The sequence below is a fragment of the Homo sapiens genome, chromosome 16, assembly GCF_000001405.40.
Source record: "Homo sapiens chromosome 16, GRCh38.p14 Primary Assembly".
In the NCBI taxonomy this organism is placed as follows: Eukaryota; Metazoa; Chordata; class Mammalia; order Primates; family Hominidae; genus Homo; species Homo sapiens.
The window spans coordinates 78274276-78301525 of NC_000016.10; the positions used below are offsets into that span (position 1 = coordinate 78274276).

Genomic DNA, 27250 nt, shown 5'->3' on the forward strand with positions numbered 1-27250 from the left:
GATTCCATCTGACAAGAATGATCACTGTTCCTTCCAGTTCTTCAAGCACTTTTTCTGTTTTTGATGGGATTTATCACTTGAAAATGCATATTATAGTAATTTCTGAATTCATCCTGATTCTCCTACTGGTTTCTAAACTCTTCAGGTTAGAATTCCTGTTGGATATCCCTCTGGCCCGAAATTCCTGAATGAGTTAAGCAGGACACCTAGAACTATGCAGAGGTAATACCTTCCTTGACCTGTCCCTTTTCTGGGTCAGTTTGCCCTTCATGATTTCGGCAGGAGTGTGTCTCCTTCCATTCTGGTGAACACATCCAATGTTCAATGTTGCTCATCAGGGTAAGAGTTCTAAGTCCCTATGTCTTAGAGACAGGGGTTATCTAGCTTTGTCTTCTGCATTGGCTTCAGGCTTCACATCCTTCCTGGACATGTTCAATGCTGCTTTCGTTTCTTGGGCGAGGGCCCTAGAATCACCTTAGACACCTTGCTCTAGACATGGCCCCATCGTGGTATTCCCTTTTGAGAAGACAAAGATTTTAAAAATTCTTTCTCCCTTAATGCCTCATGAATGCCCAAGCAGCACTTCATGGAAGTACACTGAGTCTCTACTGCTTGCAGGGATTAAACATAACATTCTCAACAGTGGTAAGAGAGCCTTTCCCTTCTCTTTGGCTCGTTTTCAGTTTTTATTAATTTCCTGTGCTTCTGGTTCATGAATCCCAAGTCATGATGTGAATCAGTTCAGTTCAGCAAGCACTGAGCTCCCATGATATAACAGGTTTTTTTCTTTTCCGAGCTGTGGCCCATGCAGAGTTTACTGAGACTTGGCTCTTGCCTTTATGCTTTAAGGATCCTAAAGAGAAGATGTAATTATAAGATCTAAAACGTGGAGGGGGGTGGTGAATTCAGCCTGCAGGCATGTGTTTGCTGCCCCCACCCCCACATCCTCTTTTTTTAAAGTTCGCATAAAAACCTGGATTCTTGGTTTCTCTTAAAAAACTGGAAGGTCTGGCACCTTTGCTCCCACATTTCCCGGGCGCAGCCCTTGACTCACCCTGTACGGTGGCCGCCCCAGTTGGATGATGGGGCTTGTGCCCACCGGGTCAGCTCACACCAACCAGCCCCTATTAATTTATACCTGGCCCGCTTTCCAAATTGACATTACCTGGCTGGTCCGTACGCATCCCCTGCAGTAACTGGCTTTCTGGAGGTATGTGCTGAGGATCTCTTTGGCTTCTGCATCTCAAAGGATGAGTGATTTAGCCAGGTGGAGAGGTTGGGGCGGTATCCTGAATGAAAGAATAGCACAGACAAAAGTAGTGAGTTGAAAACAGAACAGCATGGCAGGCTCCCAGTAATCCCATGAGTCACGTGTTCTGCCCACATGGAATGGATGGTGGAGAAGGGAGGAGGGAGGAGGTTGGGCCAGATTAAGCAGATTGTCCCCATTGGTCCATTTTTAAATCTTCCTTTTGGTATTTGTCCCTTAAGGCAACACTTTCAGTCTCAGAAAAAATCCAGTAAAGGGCAAACCAGTTTGGGTGAATTTCTTTGTTTTTGCAGCATGTCTGGTCCCAAAGTGGGACCTGGAGTCCTTCCGACGAGGAAGTGCAGCCTCTTGTCGAGGAGTGCACTGGGAGGGGAGGCTGGACTTCTGGGCTCTGCTCTGCCTCTAATCTGCTGCCCAGCATCAGCCTTAGCCCAGACCCCCAAACTTCCTGGGCTTCATTCTGCTTTGCATTCATCTCAAAGTTAAGCCTTCTGGCTGGCAGGGGTTTCTGAGACAGACTGACAGTATTAGCGTGCTGCAGTTTCATGATGGCAAGAAGGAGGTTACCAAAGCCGTTTTCATACACCTTAACTCATGAGTGGTAGTGAGTGGCCCCAGGTGGGAAGCACAGGTGATTTGGAGCTGGCTAACCTCCTTCCTTTGGCTCTTACTCTCACCAGCTCTTAGACTTGGGGTAGGTTAGTTAGCTCCTCCCAGCCTCAGTTTCCCTGTTTGTCAAATGGGGTCATAGAGGGTGAGAATCAGAGTTTATGCAGGGCATAGCACTAGTGTAATGCTGGGCAGAGAGTGAGCATCCAGCAAGTGGTTTTGACAATGATAATAATTATAACCCAAGCGACACATACAATTTAATCAGGCACTGTGTGTCCACAGCGATGTCAAGGAACAATGCACAAAGCAGAGTTTTTCCAGTCTCCTGATGTTTGAGCCCTGCGCGAGCCCCACTCTTCTCCCTTTTCTCATAACTGCTGTGAGCAACCTCAAATCCTTCTGGAAGTAGGTTGGTTATGAATTATGAATAATTAAAGAAATAAACTCTGGCTCTGCAGCTGAAATTGGGATCGCATGGAGAAAATAGAAAGTCCAGTGTTTGTAGCTGTGATCTCTCAGTTGCTTGCATGAATTGTGCTTTAAGATTGTAAAATTTTAGCCCATTAAAAATAAAATCTGTTGCTTTCCACCCACACCTGGCAATTTGGTGAGGGACGGGGGCTAGGATATTTACTGTCTGAAAGTTTTAGGGAGGCTTTTATGAACTGGGCCATCTCTCCTTGTCCCCATTTTTCTTTGCATCTCCGAACTCTCATTAATTTTTCACAGGCTTGTGATGGATAGTTTTTATTTATTCACGTCTGAGATTCCGTTGTGTGAAAAGGACTCATTTTATAACATTACATATTCATGGCTTGGGATGGATGGGATAAGGAACTTATTATTAATGTGTCACTGTGGGAAACTTACTCTAGTTCATTTGCGAACCTTGTTAAATTCGGTGTGGTCAGCAGACCCGGTGAAGTTTTGGATACATTCTCTTAACAGAGGGCAAAGAGTTTGCTGTTGCTTTTCCTTGATTCAGTAAAACAAGTTTAAATCTTATTTAAATCGTTTGAAGTAGCAATTTGAAAGGGGAGGAAAAAAAGGGGGATGGCAGAGATTAAGTAGAGAGAGAAGCTCCGATTTTCTTGTTGAATAGCCGTGTTTCCTCAGCATTCTGTAGATTTTTGGCCAGGTTTGTGTAAGGGATGAACGACTCTCTATAAAATGATGTCAGGATCCTTTCTTTCCTGCCCATTGCCATTTCTAGCATTCTCTCCTTGAGGGAAGTTGCAGTTTTCTCCCTCTGTGTATTCATCCTTCTGACCTGTGCTCCGGATTCCAGGGAGTTCTCAATTTGGAGCTCATACCGACATCACAGAATTCCTTGCCTGGGACAAATAGAGGGAATATTAACATAGCATCTTGTAAATCAAAGCTGGGCAGGGGGTGGGGGAGGGCACAGTGGGGAACCTGGCCCAATCTGCTTCAGTGTGAGCTTGGTAAGAAGGAAGCATATGTTGCATTTAGTTCTCTGCAAAGACAGGCGCTGCTCTCTGGCAGGGACAGCGTGTAGGGTTTGCATGATTTGTGGGGCCGTTTCATGTTTGCACGGTTTGGCTTGGCTTGGGACTCGGCCAGTGGTCACTGCAGTTTAACAGATTCCCCCCGGGTGTGAAGGAAAGCGAGATAAATGCAGGAAAAAGGATACATTTTGAAATCTGGAAATTTTACATAACAGGCATCAGATTTGAAGAATGTCCAAAATATTACGAATCATAGCACAACCTTTGCTAACACCGTGGAAATTTTTGAACATGGAATTTGTTAATGCTGACTTGGCCCACCATGGGGTTAAAAAAAGTGAATTTCTTTTTGATAACCAAGGTGATGATCTTATGAAGTTGATGATGGGGTGTGAACGGTGTGAGTGGGGGACAAAGCAATGAAATATCCCTTAAAATGCATCCTCTGATGATGTTTCCATAATGCCAAACATTTGTTTCTCTCCAGGATCTCATTGGCGGTTTGCTGGTATTATATTGCCATTTATATTGGAAAGGCAGGCAGTGCGAAAACTGTAGTCTATTAAGAGTTTGTGAGTGTGTGTATGTGTATACAGTGAAATAATATCTAGTGTAATGTGAAGTGACAGTCAAAATTACAGCTTTTCTCTTGCCGCAAGGGTACTTCTCTGCCAAGTATAGTAATATTGTTGTAGCAGTGTTCAAGGTTGTCAGCAATTCTGGCTTACTCTGCAGAGAGCCATAATAGTGTGTGGAAGGAAGGAGCTTCCTGTCAGGGGAAATACTATAATTTTGATATATATTTGTTGGTGCCAAACTGCAATTAAATAGGAGGTGTTGGAAGAAGGTTTTATTTAACCAGCTTGAATTTGTTAATTAATTAGCAAAAACTTATCTTTGGAATGCTTCAAGAAACAGTTCTATGTTGTTCTCATAACTTAATTTTACACAACTGTCTTTTGTTTGTATCTTACAGAAAACAAAATACCACCCTCCGCCAGAAAAGTGCAGAATAAAAATTTTCCACTAGCAAAAGAAGGAAAAAATAAAAGATCTTGAATAGTCTCATCAATTACATCTTCTTTTGTGGGTATTTCCTGGTCTTTTCATGTTTTGACTTCTATCTCGGTGATCTGACAGACATGTACGATTTGCAACAACATCTATTATATGATTTAATTTATACCTTTATCAGTTTGCAGTTATGCTTTACGACTCTTCAGGTGACTAAAGAAAAAGAGGGTGTTTTAAAGTGTGTGTGTTTGTGTGTGCGTGTACGTGTATACATGTGTTTTTCTGTGTACATAAGTGTGTGTGTTTTAAATTGTTTGAAAAACACTAGTCCATCTCTATTGTATTATCTGAGGGATGCTAGCTCGTTACTTGGGATAGTAACAAGTTTCTTGGTGACAACTCCTCCTCCCATTGTCAAGGAAGACTGAGGATGTCACCAGAGTTCGCTGTCAATGGCTATTCAGATGAAAAATACCTTCTTTTTGAATAAGTAGAAAAACCATGGGGGATTGAAATAGCAATAATATATTAAAAGCTCCAAGGCAGTTATGTGTGAAGAAATAAAGAACAGAACAGAGAGATTGTGTTGTTTTAAAAAGGGCTATTTAAGAGTCTTGAAAAGAGTGTGTGTGTGTAGGGGGACACCTCCCTCTCATATTAAGTATTTTGCAAATTAAATGAGTTTCATTCTCCTATAAAATATGAGTCTAATCACATTTTATATGATTGTAAAATGTGTCTACTTTTGTCTCTATCTTTCATGGAAAAAAGAAATATTCCCAAAGTATATTATAAAAAATAATTAATAAGCAACTTTTCATCATTATTTTCTGAGGTTAATTATTACCCTAAGAAATCAATTTCAATTTCTTCAGTTTGAAAGACTCATTTGTGATGGGGTGTTTCCAAAAAGAGAGTTAGTTAAATGCTATATGGAAGCCTTCATTCCCTAAAGAAAATGCCTCTGCTGCTGGCAGTGATTTATCCAGAGCTGTCTCACCCATTTATGCCCCATGCCAGGAGAATGTATGGAAAATGTAATAGAGCTATTAGAATCCAGTGTAGTAGATTGGTAATAGTAAGGAACAACAGTTGTCTTCACATTGTTAAAATAAAAGTGAGATACCCTTTAATCTTCGCAAAGGGAAATAACTCTTCTGCTAACCCTCCTGCCCAACCTGAGATGAAGTATCAGGGGATGCAGTATGGATGTATTTTCCTGACGATTGGTCCTTCTGTCCTGGGACCCAGGTGTGAGTGCATAGGGAAAAGGGAGGAGAAATTTAATCCTGTAACTATCTCCTTATGGAAAACAGGAAACCACAGATGAATCAAATGAATCCGTTTCCCCTCTTTCTGATCCTCTGCAAAAGTCATCAAAATCACTCTGTTCTCACCAGGCAACTGGAGTTTCGTCAGCTGAGTCTAGAGTGTTCCAGGCAGTTACAGCTAATCATGGCAGGCTCTACCCAACTGGGGGAACAATTTAGCTGTTGTGGGATTTCCCTTTAAATTAAATATGTTCTTCAGGTACAGTTTTTTAAAACCAGTTTTTCTCCCCCACTTTTAACCTACTTTATCGTCCATTGCTGGGCCTAGAATTGCATGTCCATTGGCATGGCTGACGTTATATATAAATATTTGGAATTGTAGTTGTAATGATAGATATTATATATATTTCACATGTTTTAAGATTAACATATTAACAGTTTGTGATATTCAACAAAGAATGCAATAACTTCTGCGAAACAGGTAAGAGAAACAACCAGTCACTTGATCTGGATATTGAGACGTTACCTGTAGGATATGTATTAGGCTGTTCTTGCACTGCTGTAAAGAAATGCTTGAGACTGGGTAATTTATAAGAAAAGAGGTTTAATTGGCTCACAGTTTTGTAAGTGGTACAGGAAGCATAGCGGCTTCTGCTTCTGGGGAGGCCTCAGGAAACTTACAATCATGGCAGAAGGCAAAGAGAGAGCAGCAGGTGACATGGTGACAGTGGGAAGTGACAGAGCGTGGGGTGGGGGTGGGAGGTGCCCCACTTTTAACCCTTTTCCTGTTTAGGAAAAAAAAAGCGCAGCTCACTGCCAGCGCTCATTTAATTTTACATAAACATGCTCTTTGAAGCTGAAGCAAATGTGACCGATTTTCAAAGTGATAATAAAATATAAAAACAGTTCTTGGAAATATTTCTGAACAGAACTAACATCAGAATCATCTGAATCATCAGAATTGTGTATTTTGGAAAAATCGGATTCATCAAATGAATCTTCAGCCAACAACTGTTCGAGAATTATGTTAACATCACATGCAGGAATGCTACATTTTCTCGGATTTGACATTTTCAGTGATGGAGAACTATTATATTTTGTAAATGGAAATACCACTACTAAAAACAGAAGGCTATAAATAGAACGATATCCTTCGTTTCCAAAGTCGATATGCTAGAGTGATGTGAAAAAAATAATAAAAGCGAGATATTTCATGGCAAAGCGATCTCAGGGTAAACACTGCACACCAGTAAGTATTCTTGGGGCAAATGGGAAAAGGGTTAAAATGACCAGATCTCCAGAGATCTCACTCACTATGGTGAAGACAGCGCCAAGCCATGAGGGCTCCGCCCCAGTGATTCAAATACCTCCCATTACGGACATGTTTCAACATGAGATTTGGGCGGGGACAAATATCCAAACTATATCAGGATCCCAGCAGACTGGGTGGGTGGAGGTTCAGGGATATCTGGGAAGGACTAAGAATAGCTTTTTCTTTTAGTAGATCAGGAGTTTCCTCTTACACACAAAAAGCTCCAAATTTAAACTAGCTTAAGAGGAAAGGGTCATTACTGGCTGACAAAATGCGAAGTTTTGTGCAAGAGTCAGCAAAGTTTCTCTGTGATGGGATATTTAATAAATATTTTGGGGCCTTGTAGTGTTTGTTGCCAACTACTCAACTCTGCCCTCATAGTGCGAAAACAGGCATAAACGACATGTAAAGGAGCAGGCATGGCTGCGAGAAACTTTATTTATGGATACTGGAATTTGAATTTCATATACATTTTCATGTGTCACAAAATATTATTCTTTCCCCCCCGCCCCCAACCATTTAAAAATGTGAAGCATTTTTAGCCTGTGTGCTGTATAAGAACACAGCCGTGTTTGGCCCAGCGGTTATAGTTTGCCAACCCCTGCTTAGAGTCTAGCTTTATTCAGAGCTTAAATATGTCATCGAGGTCCCCTCTTTATTTAATCCCTTAGTTTTGATGATCTTTTATGGGTTATATTCTTCAAAGGGAAAATTCTCTCCAAATGGGGCTGCCACTGGCAGACGAGCACTGTCCCATCTTGGCTTGTTCCCCCAGTGACAAGAAGCTGTTTTCCCCACTACCCTTGGCCCAAAAGCCACAGGGAGAACCAGGATTGGCCTAGTTTTAGGCAGACACCTATCCCTGAATCAGTCATGTCCCCGGATGATGCGGTTCTCTGCAGCCTGGGCAGTCAAGGCTGGAGATAATTCTCTGCTTCTCCACGGAGTCTGAGAGGCCCCGTTCCCTAATGGTAAAATGAGGTCCAATTTTGCAAAAGGAGGCACCTGGGGAAACATTCTGGACACACAAATCTATAGCTTCTACCGTCAATCTGCTATGATCCTTTTATGGTTCTGACGTTGCAATTTTATTTTTGCATGTTTCTAGAGACATCAGGAGGGGATCTTTTCGGGATGTGGCTTCAAAAAGGAGCCTGTTGGATGGTCTCTTACTAGTGGTCAGCAAAGAACAGTTCTTTTGTAAATTGCACTGCATTAAGAGCATTCCTGTTTCCATCTCATTGATACCTGCCTTGCGTTCTGTTACCTGGAAGCACAGGTCAAGGTAGTCTTCTTGTTCCACTGATTTGATGGGGGTCAGGATGCTTTCAGAAAGGAAGTGAGAAGAGTGGCTTAGAACAGGGAAAATGTGGCCGGGCGCAGTGGCTCACGCCTGTAATCTCAGCACTTTGGGAGGCCTAGGTGCGCAGATTACAAGGTCAGGAGATTGAGGCCAGGCTGGCCAATGTGATGTGAGACCCCATGTCTACTAAAAATACAAAAAATTAGCCGGGAGTGGTGGTGTTCGCCTGTAGTCCCAGTTACTCAGGAGGCTGAGCCAGGAGAATCGCTTGAACCTCGGAGGTGGAGGTTGCAGTGAGCCGAGATCGTGCCGTTGCACTCCAGCCTGAGTGACAAGAGCAACACTCCATCTCAAAAAAAAAAAAAAAAAAAAAAGGACAGGGAAAATGTCCAGGAAGGATGTGGCTTAGCTGAAGATCAGCTTCAGCTTGATCCCACGGGAAGCTCTGGAGGGTGAATTGTACAGCAGAGTTGGTCCTGACTGAGACCAGGGCCTGGCTGACCTATGGCAGTCAGCGATGAGCCAGTGTCTGCTGGGGAAGAGGGCGGCGTGGACATAGCCTCTCAAGTGGGGCAGGAAGGGGTAGCTGTGAGATACTAGCTAATTCTTACAGCTTCTGGGTTCACCAGCCCGGCAGGAGAATCTGGGTTGAGGAGGCAACATGACAACGTGCCTACCTTCACCAGAGAGACTGCTGTCAAAAATCACTCCATCCATGCAAGGAGGAACGATGCAGACACAGAAATTCTCTGCTGTGAGGGCCAGCACTGTAGTATTTACTGACCTGCTCCCCACTCCACACCTCCAAGTGCAGGTGTACAGACTGACATCAAACCTTTCATCCCGCCCTCGGCCTCATACCTGCTTTCCACTCTGTGACCTATTTACTTCGATGGAGTCATTTTCAAATAACTTTTGTTTAGTGAAACTCAAGGCTTTTCAGGATGCTGTGCTAATGTCTTCCTTTTTTAATTGAGTAAATATATTATACACAGCTGGGTAGGTTGTTTCCTTGCTGGCCTTACTGCTACAATTTGAAAACGGATACAGTTTTCTTTAACTCACATAGGATGAATGTGGCATTTATTCCTGGTTTCCTGTGGCTCTCCTCCTTTAGAAAACGTATTTACATGGACGTTTTTGAAGCACTTCTTAAGACATCGAAAAATTAAAAAAGAAAAAAAAAAAGAAGAAAAATCTCTTTTCCCTCCCCCAAACAATGGTTACATAGTGACAACAGTGGGTTGAGCTAAATTCAGCTACGTCAAGGAAGAGCAATAAAAGGAGATGGATTGTTCTCTAAGCTTCACTTTATTGGATATTGTAATTGACATATAGTTGTCATTTATAATCATCTGTCCATTCCTGTGAGGTGGGAGCAGTAAAGTTAATTGTGGCAGCTCATTTGCATTAATCTCACCTCTGAAGGGTACAGTAACCCATTAATATCACGTCATGATGAATTATCACAAATAACATTGAACATATTGATTAATGATCTCTGAGATTTGTATCTCGTTAAAACATTTTGTTAGCTCTTTAAACTTTTAAGCCAACAACCATTGCGTGTAGGAGGGGTTTAGAGATCATCTGAGAGGTGGTGGTGGGTGGTGGTGTACTTTGTAGGGTCACTGGTTTAAGGGGTTGGACAACCCGTTCCCATCTGATTTTCCTCTTCTTCGGGAGCCAAGTACTTTTTGTTGGTAACTTCCGTCTACTTTTTGCAGGATAGTGGTTTCTTCAAAACAGTGGCTTCTTTGATTGTAAGGTGGCTCCGATTCTCAAATGGAATGATTTTCTTAAGATTTTTAAAAATTACCCCTTCAACACCTTAAGTGCTGGCTTTCTGAACCTCTTGCCCACCTAGGCATGCCTGCTACTTTGAAGTGGCAAGAGTTATCTTTGTCTATTACATCAGCATTCCTAAACTTACATGTTAACATAAACATGGAGCTCAGAGGAAATGTGTTGTTTGAGATGAACCATCGTTTCAAATGTCACTTACTTCTTGTTTTATAAAGTATCATTACTCTTTTCTTGGACACAGTCTCATCTTTGAGGTGTTTGCAGATTTTATCTCCTGTGGACATTTCTACAAAATCAATCAACAAACTTGAGCAGAGAAATCATCATACTAGCCACACACACTCTGCAGGCATTAATAAAATAATAGTAAATTCTCTTTAACCAAGTCCTTTGCAGAATTTCCTGGTAGAAGTTTAAATGCAATAGATGCAGTAAAGAAAAGGGTTGGCTTAAGAGTTGACTTACAAAGCTTGGTCCTAACAGCTTTTTCCTTTATCTGTTTCAAGAGTCATACGATATTTGATCTTTCAAACTTACGTATTTCTTCCATTATGTTTAGTATTAGTTTCGTTTTCTCAAGATACATATTTAACAACTAGCAAAATGTTGGAAGCGGTCTCCTCTGCTGTCTATTTAGGGAAAATGGAACTGATCTTTCTGAAATAGGCATGCATGTAATGATGATGTCATTAATGCTTGGCTAGCTGGTGGACTTAAACCCAGAGGGCACTTCTGAAAAGGGGCAAAGTGCATCTGCTTCTGCTTTGTTTATAGACTGTCAGCCTTGGATCTGTCACTCCCTCAGAAGGGAAGGATTGAGGCCAGGCAAGGTGGCTCACATCTATAATCCCAGAACTTTGGGAGGCGAGGTGGGAGGATCACTTGAGGCCAGGAGTTCGAGACTACCCTGGGCAACACAGTGAGACCCTGTCTCTACTAAAAAAAGAGAAAACAAAATTAACCGGGCTGGGTGGCACCCACCTGTAGTCCTTTGGAGGACTACTTGGGAGGCTGAGGCAGGAGGATCACTTGAGCCCAGAAGTTCAACATTATAGTGAGCCACTGTACTCCAGCTGGGTAACAGAGTGAGACCCTGTCTCTGAAAAATAAAAACTAAAAAAAAAATTAAGTTAGAAGGGAGGGATTACGACCCTCATGTGTATCAAGAAACAAGCTCCATGAAGCCCCATAGGATGGCTCAGCACCAGAACGAGGTCTGACTGTTAAGCAAAGTCAAGTGCATGATGGCTGAACATTGCTGGGGGAAGATTTTGCAATTATGCATTGTTTGTGCCTTTAGCCAGTAGGTAAGGACAGTGGTACCATTCTGACGGACTCTCGGATGCTTGGTTTTATGGAGGGATCTTAAAACAGTAATCGGCCCATATGTGCAGCAACCTTTGCGCCTAAATAGCTGAGGACAAAGTAGGTTGCTTACTTCAAGAGCCCTTCCCTTTCTCTTCTTTGTCAGGCCTGTAATGTTCCTCACCCACTGAGTATTTAATATCTGTGTTTTCACATCAAAGAACAAGCTTTCTGTCTCCCAGGATAGTATCTTGTAAAGCCAGCCTCTTTATTACTTCACCAGTTTTAAGGCTTTATTACTTGCGACCTAAAGCCTGCTAGTGAATTATGCATGTTAGAACTCACAGCACCGTCTCTGCCCACTCTTTTGCCACCTTTTTGGGGGTCCAAAAAGTACAAGGCGAGATCGACGTGTGTTCATTCCCATCCATGGTATTAATCCTTATTCATTTAAAAAAATCTGCTAACGGAAATATTTCCATTCAGCTCATTAATCAATTGTGATTTTCATTCCCTTGTTTTGTAAAAGCTGTTGCAATAAATACTTTTTTCACAAGGCGAAAATCCAAGAGATGGATGCAGCCAGCGTAATTAATTGCACCCAGTTACAGGAGATCAGCAAGTTTGTGAGATTCACATGCTGCTGTACCATATGGTTGCCCAGTGGGCGAAAAATTTGATTAATGTTTTGAAGTAGATTTTTTTCAGCAAATATTGCAGCCCCAGATGAGGTGGGGGTTGTCCCCCCCTTTTACTTTCTAGTATTGTTAGACTTAGCTGAAGGAAACAATCCTCTGATTTAAAGCTTAATAATACTGTGATTCAGTGAAAACTTAACATGCGATAAAAATTACATTTCTCTCATCTCTTGTGGATACAGAAAAATAATACATGATGTCTTCGTTTGTAATTAAGGAAAATGTGATCGTTGGATTCTAAAACTTGATTCTTGATTTTTTTTTTCCCCTAAGAAATGGAACTGTGGTTTTCACTGATGCACTTTTGGTATGATTTATAAGTAGTATATTTGGGCAGACTCTTCATACTCAAAGCAGTAAAAAATAAAATAAAATAAAATACAATGAATCCACAAACAGCTTCTTCTTCATTATGTACCCTATACCTATTAGAGCATCATAAAATATAACTATATGAGTATCATAGAAAAGTTAAAGCTGTCTCTACTCTGTTATGCTAAGATATATTAGTTTCATAACCACTCAATATATTCATAGTTAATTTATCCTTTATTTTAAAAAAATGTCCTGCAGATTTTAAAATCAATTTTATAGTTTCTTTTCTGTTTTTAGTTAGAAAGTTCATTTTATCTTAGCAGCTCCTTGTCATACTGGGCACCCATTCTCTTAGGATGCTGCCCTTCTGACTTTTTTCTCCAATACCTGGGAGGGAATTAGCCATTTGGTAATACAACGGGACAAGCTTATGGTAGGTCTGACCTCAGCATTCAGAAAAACAATGTGAAATTTGTAATATGTGTCAGAACTGGCAATCAACGCCATAAGGACAATAAAATAAAATACATTTCTCCACTTTAGTAAATGAGGCTTCATGCTTCCTATGGCATAACTTTTTTGTTGTTGTTGTTTTTTCTTTTCTTTGAAACGGTTTTAAATTTCTAATTGCCTAAGCAATCTATGACACTCCTTCAATCTTAATGTCTGTTGAAATGAACTAGCATCTCAAGCAGTTGGAGCATCATCTTTAACTAGACATCAACCTGGTTTTGAATCCTTTGAGTTTTGGCAAATAGAAAATTCATCCAGGGCCACAAAAAATATCTATAATTTTGACCCAGTTGTAGTCTAGAGAGATACTTAGTTCAAAAAGAATTGTGTTATCGTCATCAAGCAAAACAACAGTATATGCTATCATCTCTGAGATGTCACACGATTATTGCTTTTTTTTTCCTTTTAAATTTTTTCTTTGTGTCTAAAGCAGTTTAAGAGCTCTAAGTGTGCTCTGTTTTCTGATGGCTTAACAAGGGACTGGCTCAATCAAAATAGAGAAGGAAAGGACGGAGACCAGGCCAAAACGGCCATCTCCTCTGATTTTCGATTCATGATATAAATTTTTAAACAAAAAAGTTACAGTGTTTTTGGTACTTTCACTAGGCTTCTAATTTTTTTTCCTAAACTTAAAAAAATTTTTTTAAGATCAATTATGTAATAATTAGCCACAAAGGCACAAGAACTGTTTCAGTAGTGGCCTGTTTTAATGTTCCATTCTGAAGAAACTGGTACAGCCTTTCTTTCCTGAGTTTGAGCTGAAACTCTCTCTTTCCCTTTTATCAGGTCGCTCAAAACAGATTTTTAGAGTGAAGCAGTTTTAGGGACAACATTTAGGAGAAACATTTCCCTAAGATTCCCTAACATTTTTTTCTTTAATTTAGCCATTTCTAATGAATATTTTTTAACTGTGCAATTTAAGTAATGATTTTTTTAATGCCTGCTACCTTCAAGACACTTCGTGTGGTCACCTCCAATTATAGACTAGGTTTTTAAATGAAAAACGGAAACACTTTTAAATTTTTATTTAATATGGCCGGTGAAACATGAACAATATATGATCAGTTGGCAGGAGACAGTGTGATGAATTATTTATGAGTTTACTTTTTTTTTTTTTTTTGCTTTAACAGCACATACATATATGAAATTCATTACCAAGTGATAGGACGGGTAACCCAGAGGTTCTGATGAGGGCCAGGACCTCATGGTCATAAAAGTAACATTAGACCTATTCCTAGTAATTTGATCTAGGTTGGCCTGATTTTTGTTGTGGTGGCAGTGGTGGCTGTGGTTGTCAATTTAATGGAATGTATTTGGAAAGAGCAAGCTTCTTCCCAATGCAGTGTTTTCCCTGCAAAGGAGAAGAAATATATTTCTTGCCTCTCTTTCCTTAGTCCTGTGTGCTTCCCCTTGATTTCACCAGGACAATTTTATACCAATCCCTTGTATTTTAGAAGAGCCTGATACATTTGCAAGGTCTCTCTTTATATTCCTGAATTTTGCATCCCTAGACATCATCCTTTTTGAGAGAGAAAATTCCGAGTGTCAGTTTTCCTTTATCGGAACCTCCTTTTATTTGAACTAACCACAATGGGTCATAATTTATAGGCCCAGTCAGCGCATCATTGCTCAGATAGAGTCATTTACCTACAAGTATCCATCAGTTAGGTGGGGGCTGCTAGATTTTTTAAGTGGAAAAAAATCCAAACAGGTTCAGGAAGAAGAAGAAAAAATCATCCTGGGGGCAGAAGAACAACAACAAAAAATTTTCCTTGGGGCCTTCCAATTTGAGATTGTTGAGTGTTGCCAAGCAAAACTAACACGCAGTGGGAAGGTTCTGCTTTTCTCACAAATTCTCGGTTAACACAAGGCGTGCCAACAGCTGGTAGAGCGAGAGTCAGGGTGCCAGGCTGAAATGGAGTGGAAGGCAGCCCTGGCTGGAAGTCTTGCTGGGAACCTGGAGCGCTGGGAGGTAAAACTTTACTTGGTGCTGGCAGCGTCACTATGCCAGTCTGTTTCTTCCCGAGCTTCAGGCCATGCTGATGTTCAAGTTGAATAAATGAGAGCTAATGATTTTTTAAGGCGTTTTTAGTGAATTGCCGTGGGAATGCTAAGTTGGCAAGAATAAAACCTAGGCGAGGAGAGTTGATTTTTGATGACCCAAAGAAGGCATGTCCTAGAGTGGTTTAGTAGAGCTCGAATAGTCTAAGATTGTTCCACATCAGGAAAAGTGTACAGTTATCAGAATTACTTACTAATGAAAAAAAGGGGAAAAAAAGATTATTAGGCTGCAGGGTAGTGGGAAGGAACAGGGTAGCAACTCTACAGTGACTTGGTCTGAGAAACCCTGTAACTTGGATCCAGCCAGGGAAGTACTTTTCCCAACAATCGGTTCCGCTGTCCTGCTGTGACCAGTAACAGGGGAAAAAAATAAAACTCCCCTAAAGGTAAATGATTCACCTCATGAACGAAGGGAAGAATAAGAGACCTAAGTTTATATACACAGATTCCAATTGTAAAATCAAACCTATTTTGTTTTCTAAATAAACAATATTTGAAAATACAACATTGCAGTCTTGTTTTCTTTTATACTGGCTAGGATGGTCTGGTCCTTTAGAGGAGGTCCTGAATAAAATAATATGGGCTGTAGAGAGAAACGCCGTTTGCTTGATAGGTGTTTTTGTAAAGGTTTTACTGGCCTACAGTGTCAGTACATTGCAAATTTAAGAATGTTCACTGACATTTTTAGTAGCCACTTAAAAAATTTTTCTAAGCAATGATGTCATTGTATTTTACTTATAATCAGAAGTACATCAGCCCGTGAATTTAGTTAAAGGTTTTTAATGTCACTTTTATTACATTTTTACTGTGCATTCATGTGCACACACACACTTTTAAGCATTTTTGATTTATATATCCCTCTGCATATTTTGTGCCTTGTGATGTGTTTAACGAATGACAGTGTCTTTAGTGCATTGCTACTTGGGGTTTCTACACTGGAAGTGTAATCCGAGGCCTTGGAATTGGTCAAACAAAACTCACTTGGCAACATTTACTTAGAGAGCACTCTGCGAGCACTCTGCGAGCGGACATGTCGATATCAGCTCCCTCCTCGTTCCCCCCCCCACCCCCCATCCCATGTTTATTTGTAATTAAAGTTAAGATGCTTGAGAATGGCTTTACCATTAATCTAGAAACATAGAGTTGTTTCCTGGTGAATGATGTATGACAGTTTTCTTTGTGCTTCCTCTGAATAGAGAGTAGTTTTTGTGGCATTGTTACAGAGAACAGCTTTCCTGTAGGGCTCACAGGCTCAACTGTTTCAAACTCCTGTTGTTCGGTAAATCTGTCAGAAGGGTCTGCAAGGGACCGTATTTATGAAGAGAGTGTAGAGTGGTCAGTCTAAAAAGCTCCTTAGTGTAGTACTTTGAATTTTAAATTACACACATAATTCAAAGGTAATGTAACTTGCCGTGTCGGACTTTAGTCCATTCCGTTAAATGGAGAAAAATGACTGACGTGAAGAATGACTTATTGATTCTTGGTGGGAAAATGACTTCTGTAATATGGGAAGTATGGTAAAAGGAATAGCTTAATTATTTAGGGAGCACTTTTCAAAATGTGCTTTTACAGCAGTACAAATTGTACGTATACAAATGGTATGACTAGGTTCTTTTTTTAAAAATTCTTTCATAGGAGAAAGTTATGAGAAGGCTTATATTATTTCGTTGCTAAGGCAAAGTTTAATTTTGCTTAAATTCCTGTAAGACTAACTAAGAAAGGTAGGAGGAGTGATGAGCAGTTTCTTAACCCTTTAAGAAATATGACTTGTTCTAATTGCCTTTTCTTATTTACATTATACTTAGGCTGGTGTTAGGATGCCGTGGCTGCCAAGTTTACACAGTGCACTTTCTCTCTCTCTTTCTTCTTTTGGTTTATGATGTTTTTCAGTAGTGTCATGGAACTCACTTAATCTGATTTCATCAAGTAAATATATGGGAAGTTGAGATGACATATTTTTATCTGACATTTGAAGAAATATTCATAAAATAGCAGATAAAATATTTATTTTGGCCTTTTCATTCTGATCTCTCTTTTGACTCGATGTGTATTCTTTGCTTAAGGACCACAGCCTAATGTTATTTTGACTGCATTTCACAGTGTTGGCGGCCTTTCAGATAAACAGCATATTTGTGGTTAATTGGCTGAACATGTTCTATAATTATAATTATATTAAAACCTTAATGTTCTTGAACGTTTGCCCGCGAAGGCCACTCACGTGAACTAAGTTATGTTTCTGTCGTTATAACTGAGCTGGCTGGCGGCTGCCATTCAGCAATCCAGGCAGGACTGGGAACCTGGGAAAACTGCAGAGGTTTCTTATTATTTCGGTCTGAAACCGCTGTTTGGATAGTTTTAGAAGTTGACCATGAAAATTGCCTTCTGGTTGTAACTTGGATCCCCAGGTTTCAATCTGTGGGCTAACGTTTCTTGGGATTTTCAGAAAGGATTGGCTTGGCTTTTTATCAAAGTTACACAACGGCTGTAAAAAATAAATAAAAAAAAAGCAAAATTAGCACTTTATCAAGTTTGGGGCATATTTCCAAGGCCACCAGGGAGCAGGGAAAGTCACCAAAAGACCGCTCCTTGAAACCAGGCAAGAAGCCATCTTTGCAGTGAGCTGAGAGGTCTGATGGCCGCCAGCTGAGGGAGGGAATTCCCCTTTTGTGCCTTCGGGATTGATAGAGAAGCCCAGTGGACTTAGCATCTGGGAATCCCAGATTGATCTTTTCTGGATATTGGGTCAACCATAAGATGGTACCTTTCCCTGTGTAACAAAGTCAGATTCTGTGAAACACCTGTTTTTTGTATGGCTTATGAGATGAGGATGATTTTTACCTTTTTTTTTTTTTTTTTTCCCTTGAGACAGTGTCATTCTATTGTCCAGGCTGGAGTGCAGTGGTGCAATCTCAGCTCATTAACCTCAGGTTTTTTTACAGAAAAAGTTTGCCACCCTCTGATCTACATGATGTCCTTCAGTTTCTGTCTCTCACCAGACTGATGGTGCCATGAGGGCAGGGGCAACTCCTATCCTAAGGCGTGGCCCATAGTAAGGGGTATTGGTTAGAAGAATGAAAGATTGAATACGTCAAAGTGATGAGTACAGAGCTGTCTGTCATTTTCTTATCTTTGGCCTAACAACTGAACACATTTTATGAAATTTGCAAATCTGTTTCCAAACATGTTTGAATGGATTTTTATGGTCTTTTAATTAACCCAATAAAAATGGTAACAACACAGCAATTTTAAGAAAATAACAGAGCCAAGTATTTTTTATAGCTATGCATGCAATCCACATTACACCCACATGCAGTATTTCTATGGTCCAAATAAGTATCTGTCGGACTTAGAATATTTAAATTAGGATTTAGTTGAAAGATTATGTTCTATATCTTTTTTTTTTAAAAAAAAGGAAGAAAAATAAAGCTCTTCCTAAATTTATTTACATGTTGGAGCAATTCTGGCACTGCTAAATAAGGCAGGAAATTCCATTAAGTTTAAATGTGCTGCCCTTACCCTAAAGTGTTTGGAGGGCTTCGTAGAAGAGCCAAATAGATTCACACAGATCTTATTTGTAGAGCTGAATGTGCACTTCATTAAAATACTTTGTAAGGTATTCAAGGATGGGCTAGGAGGGTGAGGATTCCAAATCAGAATCTTCAAGCCAGTGATCCAGGCCAAAGGTATTCTGCCAGAGTGTGAGGAAATTTCACAGCCTCATGGAGACACCTCCCCTCCCCACCCTTGTTGAACAGACTCTGGAAAAGTCACCATTTCTTGTTGGTCCTTTGCTCTTGGAGCATTCTTGGCCTGACCTGTCAACCACTTTAGCCTCCAAGGTATCTGAGCCTTTCTTTCGCCTCTCTACTTAGATCATATTCTTCCTGGATTTTGGAATCAGGCTGGGACACAAGCCACCTCCTCCTCCATTCTAGCTGTGTGGCTCCAGGCAAGTGGCCACACCTCTTTGAGCCACTAGTTAACTCAGCTGCCAAACAGGGATTATACATTTACCTCTTGGTGTTGCAAGAATTAACAAGGAGGATATTTGTAAATCTCCCTGGGAGCTGGATGGTGCTTAATAAGCAGGCATTAAGGGTTGATTATCTTTGCACTCTCTCCTGCCAGATTTTGTAACTGAGTCCAGGCATCTTTAGAAACAGAAATGGTCCCTGCTCTTCTGTATCCCCTGGGATAACCTAGCATCATTTCGCTGGGTTACACATCCTCTCTTCTCTCCTGTATGTCGTCCCTCTTTCTTACGGTGGTTCTAAGCTCTATGGATCACTTGTCTTCTCCTCTGAGCGGGAACTGGGCAATTGGAGGTTCTTTCCCCTCCCGTGCTGGTGGGAGAATTGTTTAGTAGGTCATAAAGTGGAATCTCCATTTCAGTCTGATCCGGTCAATTCTGGTAGGACTTCATCCAAGCACAAAGAAACCTTTGTTTTCATTCAAGACTTCCCTAAAAGGTGGCTGGGTGCGGTGCCTCAGGCCTGTAATCCCAGCACTTTGAGAGGCCGAGGCTGGCAGATCACGAGGTCAGGAGTTCCAGACCAGACTGGCCAACATGGTGAAACCCTGTCTCTACTAAAAATACAAAAATTAGCCAGGTGTGTTGTCACGTGACTTTAATCCCAGCTGCTCAGGAGGCTGAGGCAGGAGAATTGCTTGAACCCTGGTAGGCAGAGGTTGCAGTGAGCCGATGTCATATCACTGCACTCTAGCCTGGGCGACAGAGTGAGACTCTGTCTCAGAAAAAAAAAAAAAAAAAAAAAAAAAAAAAAAAGGCTTTCCTGAAAGGTGATTCACAGGCCTCTTCGGATCCCTTCGTGTTTAGCAATTTGGATTTCCACACAGCCTTGCTGTGCCTTCTGCCCATTTGTCCTCTGCTGCTGGTCCCTGGGTGGGACAGCTCCCCTTTCTCCTTGTCTGGGTTGCTCAGATAGAGCCATAAGGATTCTCCCTGCCTCAAGAGCTGACTTCCTTCCACGAGTTCCTAACCACCTGTCCAGTTGATTCTTCTCTGGACCTGCCTTGACATCTCTGTGCCAAGCCCAGTGCCGGGGTTGCAGATGCAGAGGCACTGGTGCATATTTCTTGAGTTGAAGAGCTTGCAACTGATGAGCCCCTTCCACTCAGAAAAATGTTGTTCCTGGTCTTGCCACTGCCTGGAACCCACCAACACCTCCTCTTTCCAATATTGCTGGCTTCTACTTGTTCTATAAGAGCCATGTTCTACAAGTTCTGTATTGTGTGTGAGTCCCTCTCAACAAAACAATTTCCCTAGTCATCTCTTATTTATACTCCTTGATGCAGATTTCCATTTTACTCTTACCTCATTCTATCATAATTATCTATTTGTGTGTGTATGTATGTCCCCACTAGGCTGTGAGGTCTGTAAAAGGATAGTCTAAATACAGCTATCTATTGCAAATCTTATAATGTGACTCCATGATGAGATAGTTGGATATAGCCTTATGTTCCCAGCAGGAAGGAAGAAAGGAAAGGAGGGAGGGAGGTAAGGGTGAGAGAGAGACAAGAAAGGAAAGGAGGAAGGAAGGATGGGAAGGAGGGAAGAAGAGAGTTTGGTCAACATTTGTTGATTGTGAATGAACAAACTAATGAACACTAAATGAACAAATGAATGAATGAATGGACAAATGAATGAATGTATGAGTGGGTCAAGAACAAGATTCGGCCCCAAGGAGATACGCGACTTTCTACTTTGTTTTCTATTTGGATTTCACACAAAGGCTCTAAGGTCTCCTGGTAGGCCATGCTCAGAAGTCTGGGTTGTCCCCTGCCCAGGACAGGCTCACCCTGGCCTGTGTCCTAGGTATTGTGGGGCCGCTGTAGGAGGATGGTGGTTAAATCTTGGAGGAAATCCAGGAGTCTCATGTCCCCTTGGCTTCTGTCAGAACCAGTACCTCTCATTTATTTTGAGGTCTTGGCTGAAGATGTATCATCTACAACCCTGCAGATCAGATGTGTTAGAGCAGAGAGAGTGGCGAGGATTAATCTAGACTGAAATGTGCTAATCAAGCTGTCTCAGATGCCATTTTCTGGATAGGGAGGAACAGCAGTTGGCGAGTTTAAGAGCAATATGGAGGAACCACTGGGGATTCTATGCATGATCTTAGGGGAAGTAGCATTATTATCTCCAACACTGGCTGTTTACATTATCAGAATAAGAATGGTTCTCCAAGGCCAGGTGTGGTGGCTCACGCCTGTAATCCTAGCACTTTTGGAGGATGAGGTGGGTGGATCACCTGAAGTCAGGAGTTCAAGACCAGCCTGGCCAACATGGTGAAACCCTGTCTCTACTAAAATACAAAAATTAGCCGGACATGATGGCAAGTGCCTGTAATCTCAGCTACTCAGGAGGCTGAGATGGGAGAATCGCTTGAACCCAGGAGATGGTGGTTGCAGTGAGCCAAGATCGCACCACTGGACTCCGGCCTGGGTGGCTGAGAAAGACTCAGTCTTAAAAAACAAACAAACAAACAAACAAACAAACAAACAAAAACTTGTCTCCAAATGAGCAGACACCAGAATCTCATGGAGGGATTTTTCGAACACGTAGCACAGGGCTTCGCCCCCAGCATTTTTATTTTCGAACTTCTGGAGTGCAGCCCAAAGATCTGCATTTCTAGCAAGTTCCCAGATGATGTTGATGATGATGCCTGTTTGGGTATCACATTAGATGAAGGGCTTTGCTAATTTCAGCTGCAGAGTATTGACTCATGGGGTAGGATTCCTGCCATCTGCAGCTTCTTTGGGTCATCACTAGGGTAGAATCTTATTTTCTGAGTATGAAAAGCATCAAAGTTATTTTAGTAAAATGCTTTTGCTGTCATTGCTTTAAAACTAGCTCTTCGAAGTGGGAAAACCAAAAGTTTTATTGAAGCAATTTGTTGTAAATATGAGTTCTGTATCACATTTGGGAAATTTGTAAAGCCTTACTTTGAATGTCTTTTTCTTCACTCTATCTGTATTGTTTGGTGCTTTCTATATAAATTTATAAATTGGATGTACCGCCACAGATGTCGGTTTTCTGGTAATAATACTTTTTTACATTAAAAAAAACTCCTGAAATGAAAATGTAACTTAGTCTTATTATTGTAATCTCCCCTTGCCTTTTTGCATGGATCATTTGTTTGTGAACTGGTTATTTCAGGAAGGGCTCAAAGGTAATTTCATGGTTTATAGCATTTATATTGGCGCCTTCGATGAGCAAAACATATTGTTTTCTAATACATGAAACCAGGAATTCATATATATATGTATATATATTATTATTATTATTTTCATTTTCTAAAATTACATGTAGTACATGTATATCAACTTCAAGACATTGAGAACAACCATGTACAGAAATTATACTCTGTACACAGGGGAAATATGAAAGTTTTGTAATGCAAAAAAATAAAAAAAAATCAACATTTGCAAGCTTATGAGATGATTTTATTTTTAATGAATCCAAATGGTAGCAGGGAGCTGCTGTTGTGTTTGTGCATTGTACAGCAATTCATATCTAAAAATAAAGTAACATATGGCTTTGTTATTATTTAGTTTAGGAATTGATGCACCTAAAGGAGTTTTGAGAGCTCTGGGTCTCGTTCGGTTGTTGTACATGGCAACCAAATAAGAGTAGCTGGAGCAGAGACTTTCTCTTCTTCAGATTATTAAGATTTGAGCAATTCATTTTTTTTGGATGGTGTTTATTAAAGTCAAGAAATCTTTTGCTTATTTGCTAATGATTCTCTCCCCTTTCTCTTCTTATATTTTTGAAGGCTGAATTGGTAAAATTATCTGGCCCAATAAAAATATGTCCTGGGTTGGAAAAGAGCACAAGTTTCTTTTTCTAGCCCTGGAGTGAGGTGGCTCTCTGGCCTCTGGGTTCGTTTGGTATCCTGGGGAGTCATTGACACCCACACACTCCTAGTCACAAGACCTTTCCCTCCCATCCAGATTGTGTTTATTTTACGGCTCTCGCACGGAGCATGCAGCTGTGTAAACCTGAGAATGGTTTCTGCACAGCTTTGATCTTTGCATGGATCAACAGTTGCCCTTAGTCCCTGAACCCTGTTCCATGGCCCCATATTTCTTGGATTTTTCCATTTTCTAGTAATTATGGCATCATGTAGGGAGCCTTCCAACAGCATCCCCCACAGCTTTGGGTGGAGAATTTGGAAAAAATGCCTTAAGTCTGCCATTTGTAGAACCATATTAAGTAGTGATTTCCATTTGATGCCAAAAAAATATGCCATTTAGTTTCTTCCTAAGAGGCAATCTGACAATTTCGAGTAGACTGCTGGAGTCTGACAAATTTGAATGTATTATGGACTGAATAAATGTTTATTGAACAAATGCCATTTTTTTAACTCTTAAAATGTTCAGTTCTTCCACCAAACATAGATGACACAACTGTTGGAGACGGAGCACCGGACTGATGCAGTGTAGCATTATTTTGTAATCTACGAACTGGGAGCCTATGGAGACCTATGCATGGTGGAATACAAAAGTCATGACCTGTCTTTATATCCTAGTATGGGCAATAAAACCCTCCCTTTAATAGCCTTAAACATGGTACAAGGAAACTGTGCAGGAGTTCCAGGGAAGGTGCCATTTTTCCATATGGAGTTGATATGGTCTGACTGTGTGTCCCCACCCAAATCTCATCTTGAATTCTAATTGTAATCCCCATGTGCTAGGGGGAGGGACCTCGTGGGAGGTGATTGAATCATGGAGACCGTTCCCCCGTGCTGTGAGTGAGTTCTCATGAGATCTGATGGTTTTGTGCGGGGCTTTTCCCCACTTTGCTCTGTACTTCTCTGTTTCTTCTCCTTCTTGCCACCAGGTGAGGAAGGACATATTTGCTTCTCCTTCCATCATGAATGTAAGTTTTCTGAGGCCTCTGCAGCCCTGTAGAACTGTGAATCAATTAAACCTCTTTCCTTTATAAACCACCCAGTCTTGGGTATTTCTTCTTAGCAGCATGAGAAGGGACTAATACAGGGGTGATCACAAACAGCCTGCAGACTGGGCCATCTTTCTTAGGCAGGATCTCGAGCTAGGAGATGAGAAGAGCTCTATAGGCAAAAAGAATGACTTGGAAGGCCACATATGGCAGAGTAGCTAAGACTTTGGGGTTTCCAGTTTCAGATAGACATGGGTTTGTATCCTGGCTCTGCCCCTCAATGCCTGTGTGATCCTGGGTAGTTTGCTTAATCCTTATGAGTCCCGGTTTTCTCCTGTAAATTGGGATTAATAATAGTCACAGCTAGCTGGGTGCAGTGGCTCACACCTGTAATCCCCGCAGTTTGGGAGGCCGAGGCGGGCAGATCACCTGAGGTCAGGAGTTCGAGACCAGCCTGACCAACATGGAGAAACCTTGCCTCTACTAAAAATATAAAATTTGCCACGCTTAGTGGCACATGCCTGTAATTCCAGCTACTTAGGAGGCTGAGGCAGGAGAATCGCTTAAACCTGGGAGGCGGAGGTTGTGGTGAGCCAAGATCGCACCATTGCACTCCAGCCTGGGCAACAAGAGCGAAACTCTGTCTCAAAAAAAAAAAAAAAAAATTATGTCCTTCTAGATTGTGAGGATTAAGCAAGACCATGCATTTACATTGTTTAACACTGTCCCTGAGACATAGTAAGGCCTCAGTAACTGTTAGCTCTCTTATTGCTACCGGACAAGTGTTCTTATTTTCCCTTTTCTTCTTCTTCCTTTTCCTGTTCCTTGCCCTTCCTCTTTCGAAGAAAGTTTACGCCAAAAAGGATGAGCTGGGTTGCAGCCAGCATTCTGGTTTCACAGGAGCCTAGGAGATACATGGAGAATATTCTGAGGCTAGGTTAAATAGTTTGTCTCCAGTGTGGGTGTTAGTCATATTCTTATCAGTATCTGAAGAACCCAGAAGACTGACTCTCAGAACGGAAAACTCTTGGCTAGAGGATTCCGAAAGCTAGCGTGAAGTGGAGGCTATTACTCAGTGGGTGCCGTAACATGTCTGTGTCACCTGGCACCTTTTTATTCTCTAATCTCAGGAGTGAGTGCTTCCTCCTGCCGTGCCTGGCCACTTCTCACCTTCAGAGTCTTTGGTATGCATAAATTCTTCATCACTTCAGTAGAGTGAACCCTGATTACCTACATTTATTAATGAAAACAACCAAGAATAGTTGAGCCCAAAAGTACAAATCAATGTGCTGAATCAGTTTATGATGTCTCCCTAATTTCTGCACATCTGTTGAGCTGTGATTTCAAATTCCATTCCATTTCTTTTCTTTTCTTTTCTTTTTTTTTTTTTTGGAGACAGTGTCTTGCTCTGTCACCCAGCCTGGAGTGCAGTGGCGAGATTGGCAAGATCGTAGCTCACTGCAGCCTCCACTTCCTAAGCTCAAGTGATCCTCCCACCTCAGCCTCCCAAGTAGCTGGGACTACAAGGTTGTGCCACCATGCCCGCCTAATTTTTTGTATATTTAGTAGAGATGGGGTTTTGCCATGTTGCCCAGGCTGTTCTCGAACTCCTGGGCTCAAGTGTTGTGCCCTGTTTGGCCTCCCAAAGTGCTGGGATTACAGGTGTCAGTTACCGCACTGGCCTGGAAATCCTATTTCTTGTCAAGCAGGACATCAAAGTTGAGATCTAAGAATTTGGACTAAAATTTGGGGCAGGTTGTTTCCACTACTGTGTATTGAGAGATGGCAGGGACCATCTTGCCGAGTCCAAGAGATTGTGAAGTCTAAAAGGCTTGGCCGCAGTGTTGGTTCATCTGTAACAGCTGCCTACAAGGGAATCTTTGAGAAATACAGATTGCTGCATCTTATAAGAAGGACAGTGCTTAAAACAGAAAGAATTGAGTAGAAATTAAGACATAGCTTGATTTTTTTCCAACAGAATCATGAAGTCTGTTCAATTTTCTTTTTAAAAAGTAATTTAATCTTCTAGAAGATATCTACGTTTATTCAATAATTTCCTAAGGTAGTCTTCAAAACCTAGGAGCCTAGGAGATACATGGAGAATATTCTGAGGCTAGGTTAAATAGTTTGTCTCCAATATGGGTGTTAGTCATATTGTCATCCGTATCTGAAGAACCCAGAAGAGTGACCCTCGGAAAGGAAAATTCTTGGCTAGAGGATTCCGAAAGCTAGCGTGAAGTGGAGGCCGTTACTCAGTGGGTGCCATAACATGTCTGTGTCACCTGCCACCTTTTTATTCTCTAATCTCAGGAGTGAGTGATTCCTCCTGCCATGCCTGTCCTCCCTCCCTCCCTCCTTCCCTCTCCCCTCTCCCTTCTCCCCTCTTCTCTTTCCCCTGTCTCCTTCTCTCCCTCCCTTCCCTCTCTTCCTTTCGCATCTGACATCTCCAAATAGTTTTTCATGCAATGGCATTACTAATGGCTTGACTTTTTCGGGAAATGATTCATTACTTTATGATTTCAATTCAGTAACCATTTTCAGCTATGCCATAAATTTAAATCCTTTACCATCAAGATAACGTTTTTTTCTCCTGTCACTGAAATATTATGATTGGAAACTATTTTTAAAAGTTGACTCTGTTTGGGACAGCTCTTAGGGATTTGTCCTTTATACCAGCATATAACTTGTAGGTTGTCAGTGTCTCCAGGGGCCATATGTTCACCACCTAGACTCAACAGTTGCTAATGTTTTGCCATGTTTTGTCAGTTCATCTATCTGTCCATCTCTTTGTCCATCCATCCAACTACCCACTTACCCATCCATCCATACATTTATCCATCCATCTACCCACCCATCCATCCATCCATCCATCCATGCATCCATCCATCCATCCATCATCCATCCATGCATGTAAGTTGCAGACATCAACAAACTTTACCCTTAAGGACTTTGGCTGGCATCTCCTAAAACTAAAGGCATTGCTGTACGTAATCACAACTATCATCATTATCATGTCTATGAAATTGGTAATAATTTGCTAACATAAAATAATACCTAGTCCATAACAAGATTTACTGAATTATTCACAAATTGTCTTTTATAGCTTTTTGTTTTCAATCAGGCTGTAAAGTTCACACATTACATTTGGTATTGTATCTTATTAGTCTGTTTATTAAAGAGTTTTTTTCAGGGATCAGGGTTAGAGGGAAGGCTCCTTTCTGGATACTGTGTATACTACTAATTTTCTTTATCGGCTACCAAGGTTTTCTTTATTTTTTTCATACTTTTCTTTCATTGAGGAAACTTATTGTTTTGTACATTTTGTTGTACCTTTATGAATCTGGTTTTGACTTCTGGCCCAGCTAAGAAGCTGGTTTCCTT

General features: G+C 41.1%; 1 protein-coding gene across 4 annotated transcripts in view, besides 1 other annotated feature; it reads left to right on the top strand.

The window, feature by feature from the left end:
• WWOX (WW domain containing oxidoreductase) overlaps window positions 1-27250 on the top strand; it is a 1113014-nt gene that overhangs the window by 174622 nt on the left and 911142 nt on the right. For 2 of the 4 annotated variants that reach the window (NR_120436.3, NM_130791.5), the window contains exon 6: window positions 4328-4423. The exons of the other annotated variants lie outside the window; for them this stretch is intronic. Coding sequence is in view for 1 of the 2 variants with exons in the window: in NM_130791.5 (NP_570607.1) it covers window positions 4328-4381 (54 nt within the window). In the remaining variant the exon portion in view is untranslated. Of the gene's footprint in view, window positions 1-4327; window positions 4424-27250 lie in introns of those variants that run through there. 4 annotated transcript variants of the gene reach the window in all.
• Window positions 13593-13762: an enhancer, noted in NCBI's record as "experimental_46108 CRE fragment used in MPRA reporter constructs". NCBI's record gives its function as "activates a minimal promoter by MPRAs in K562 erythroleukemia cells, with activity observed for the non-introgressed 16:78321850 variant allele {active_cell/tissue: K562}" and the evidence as "EXISTENCE:reporter gene assay evidence [ECO:0000049][PMID:34662402]".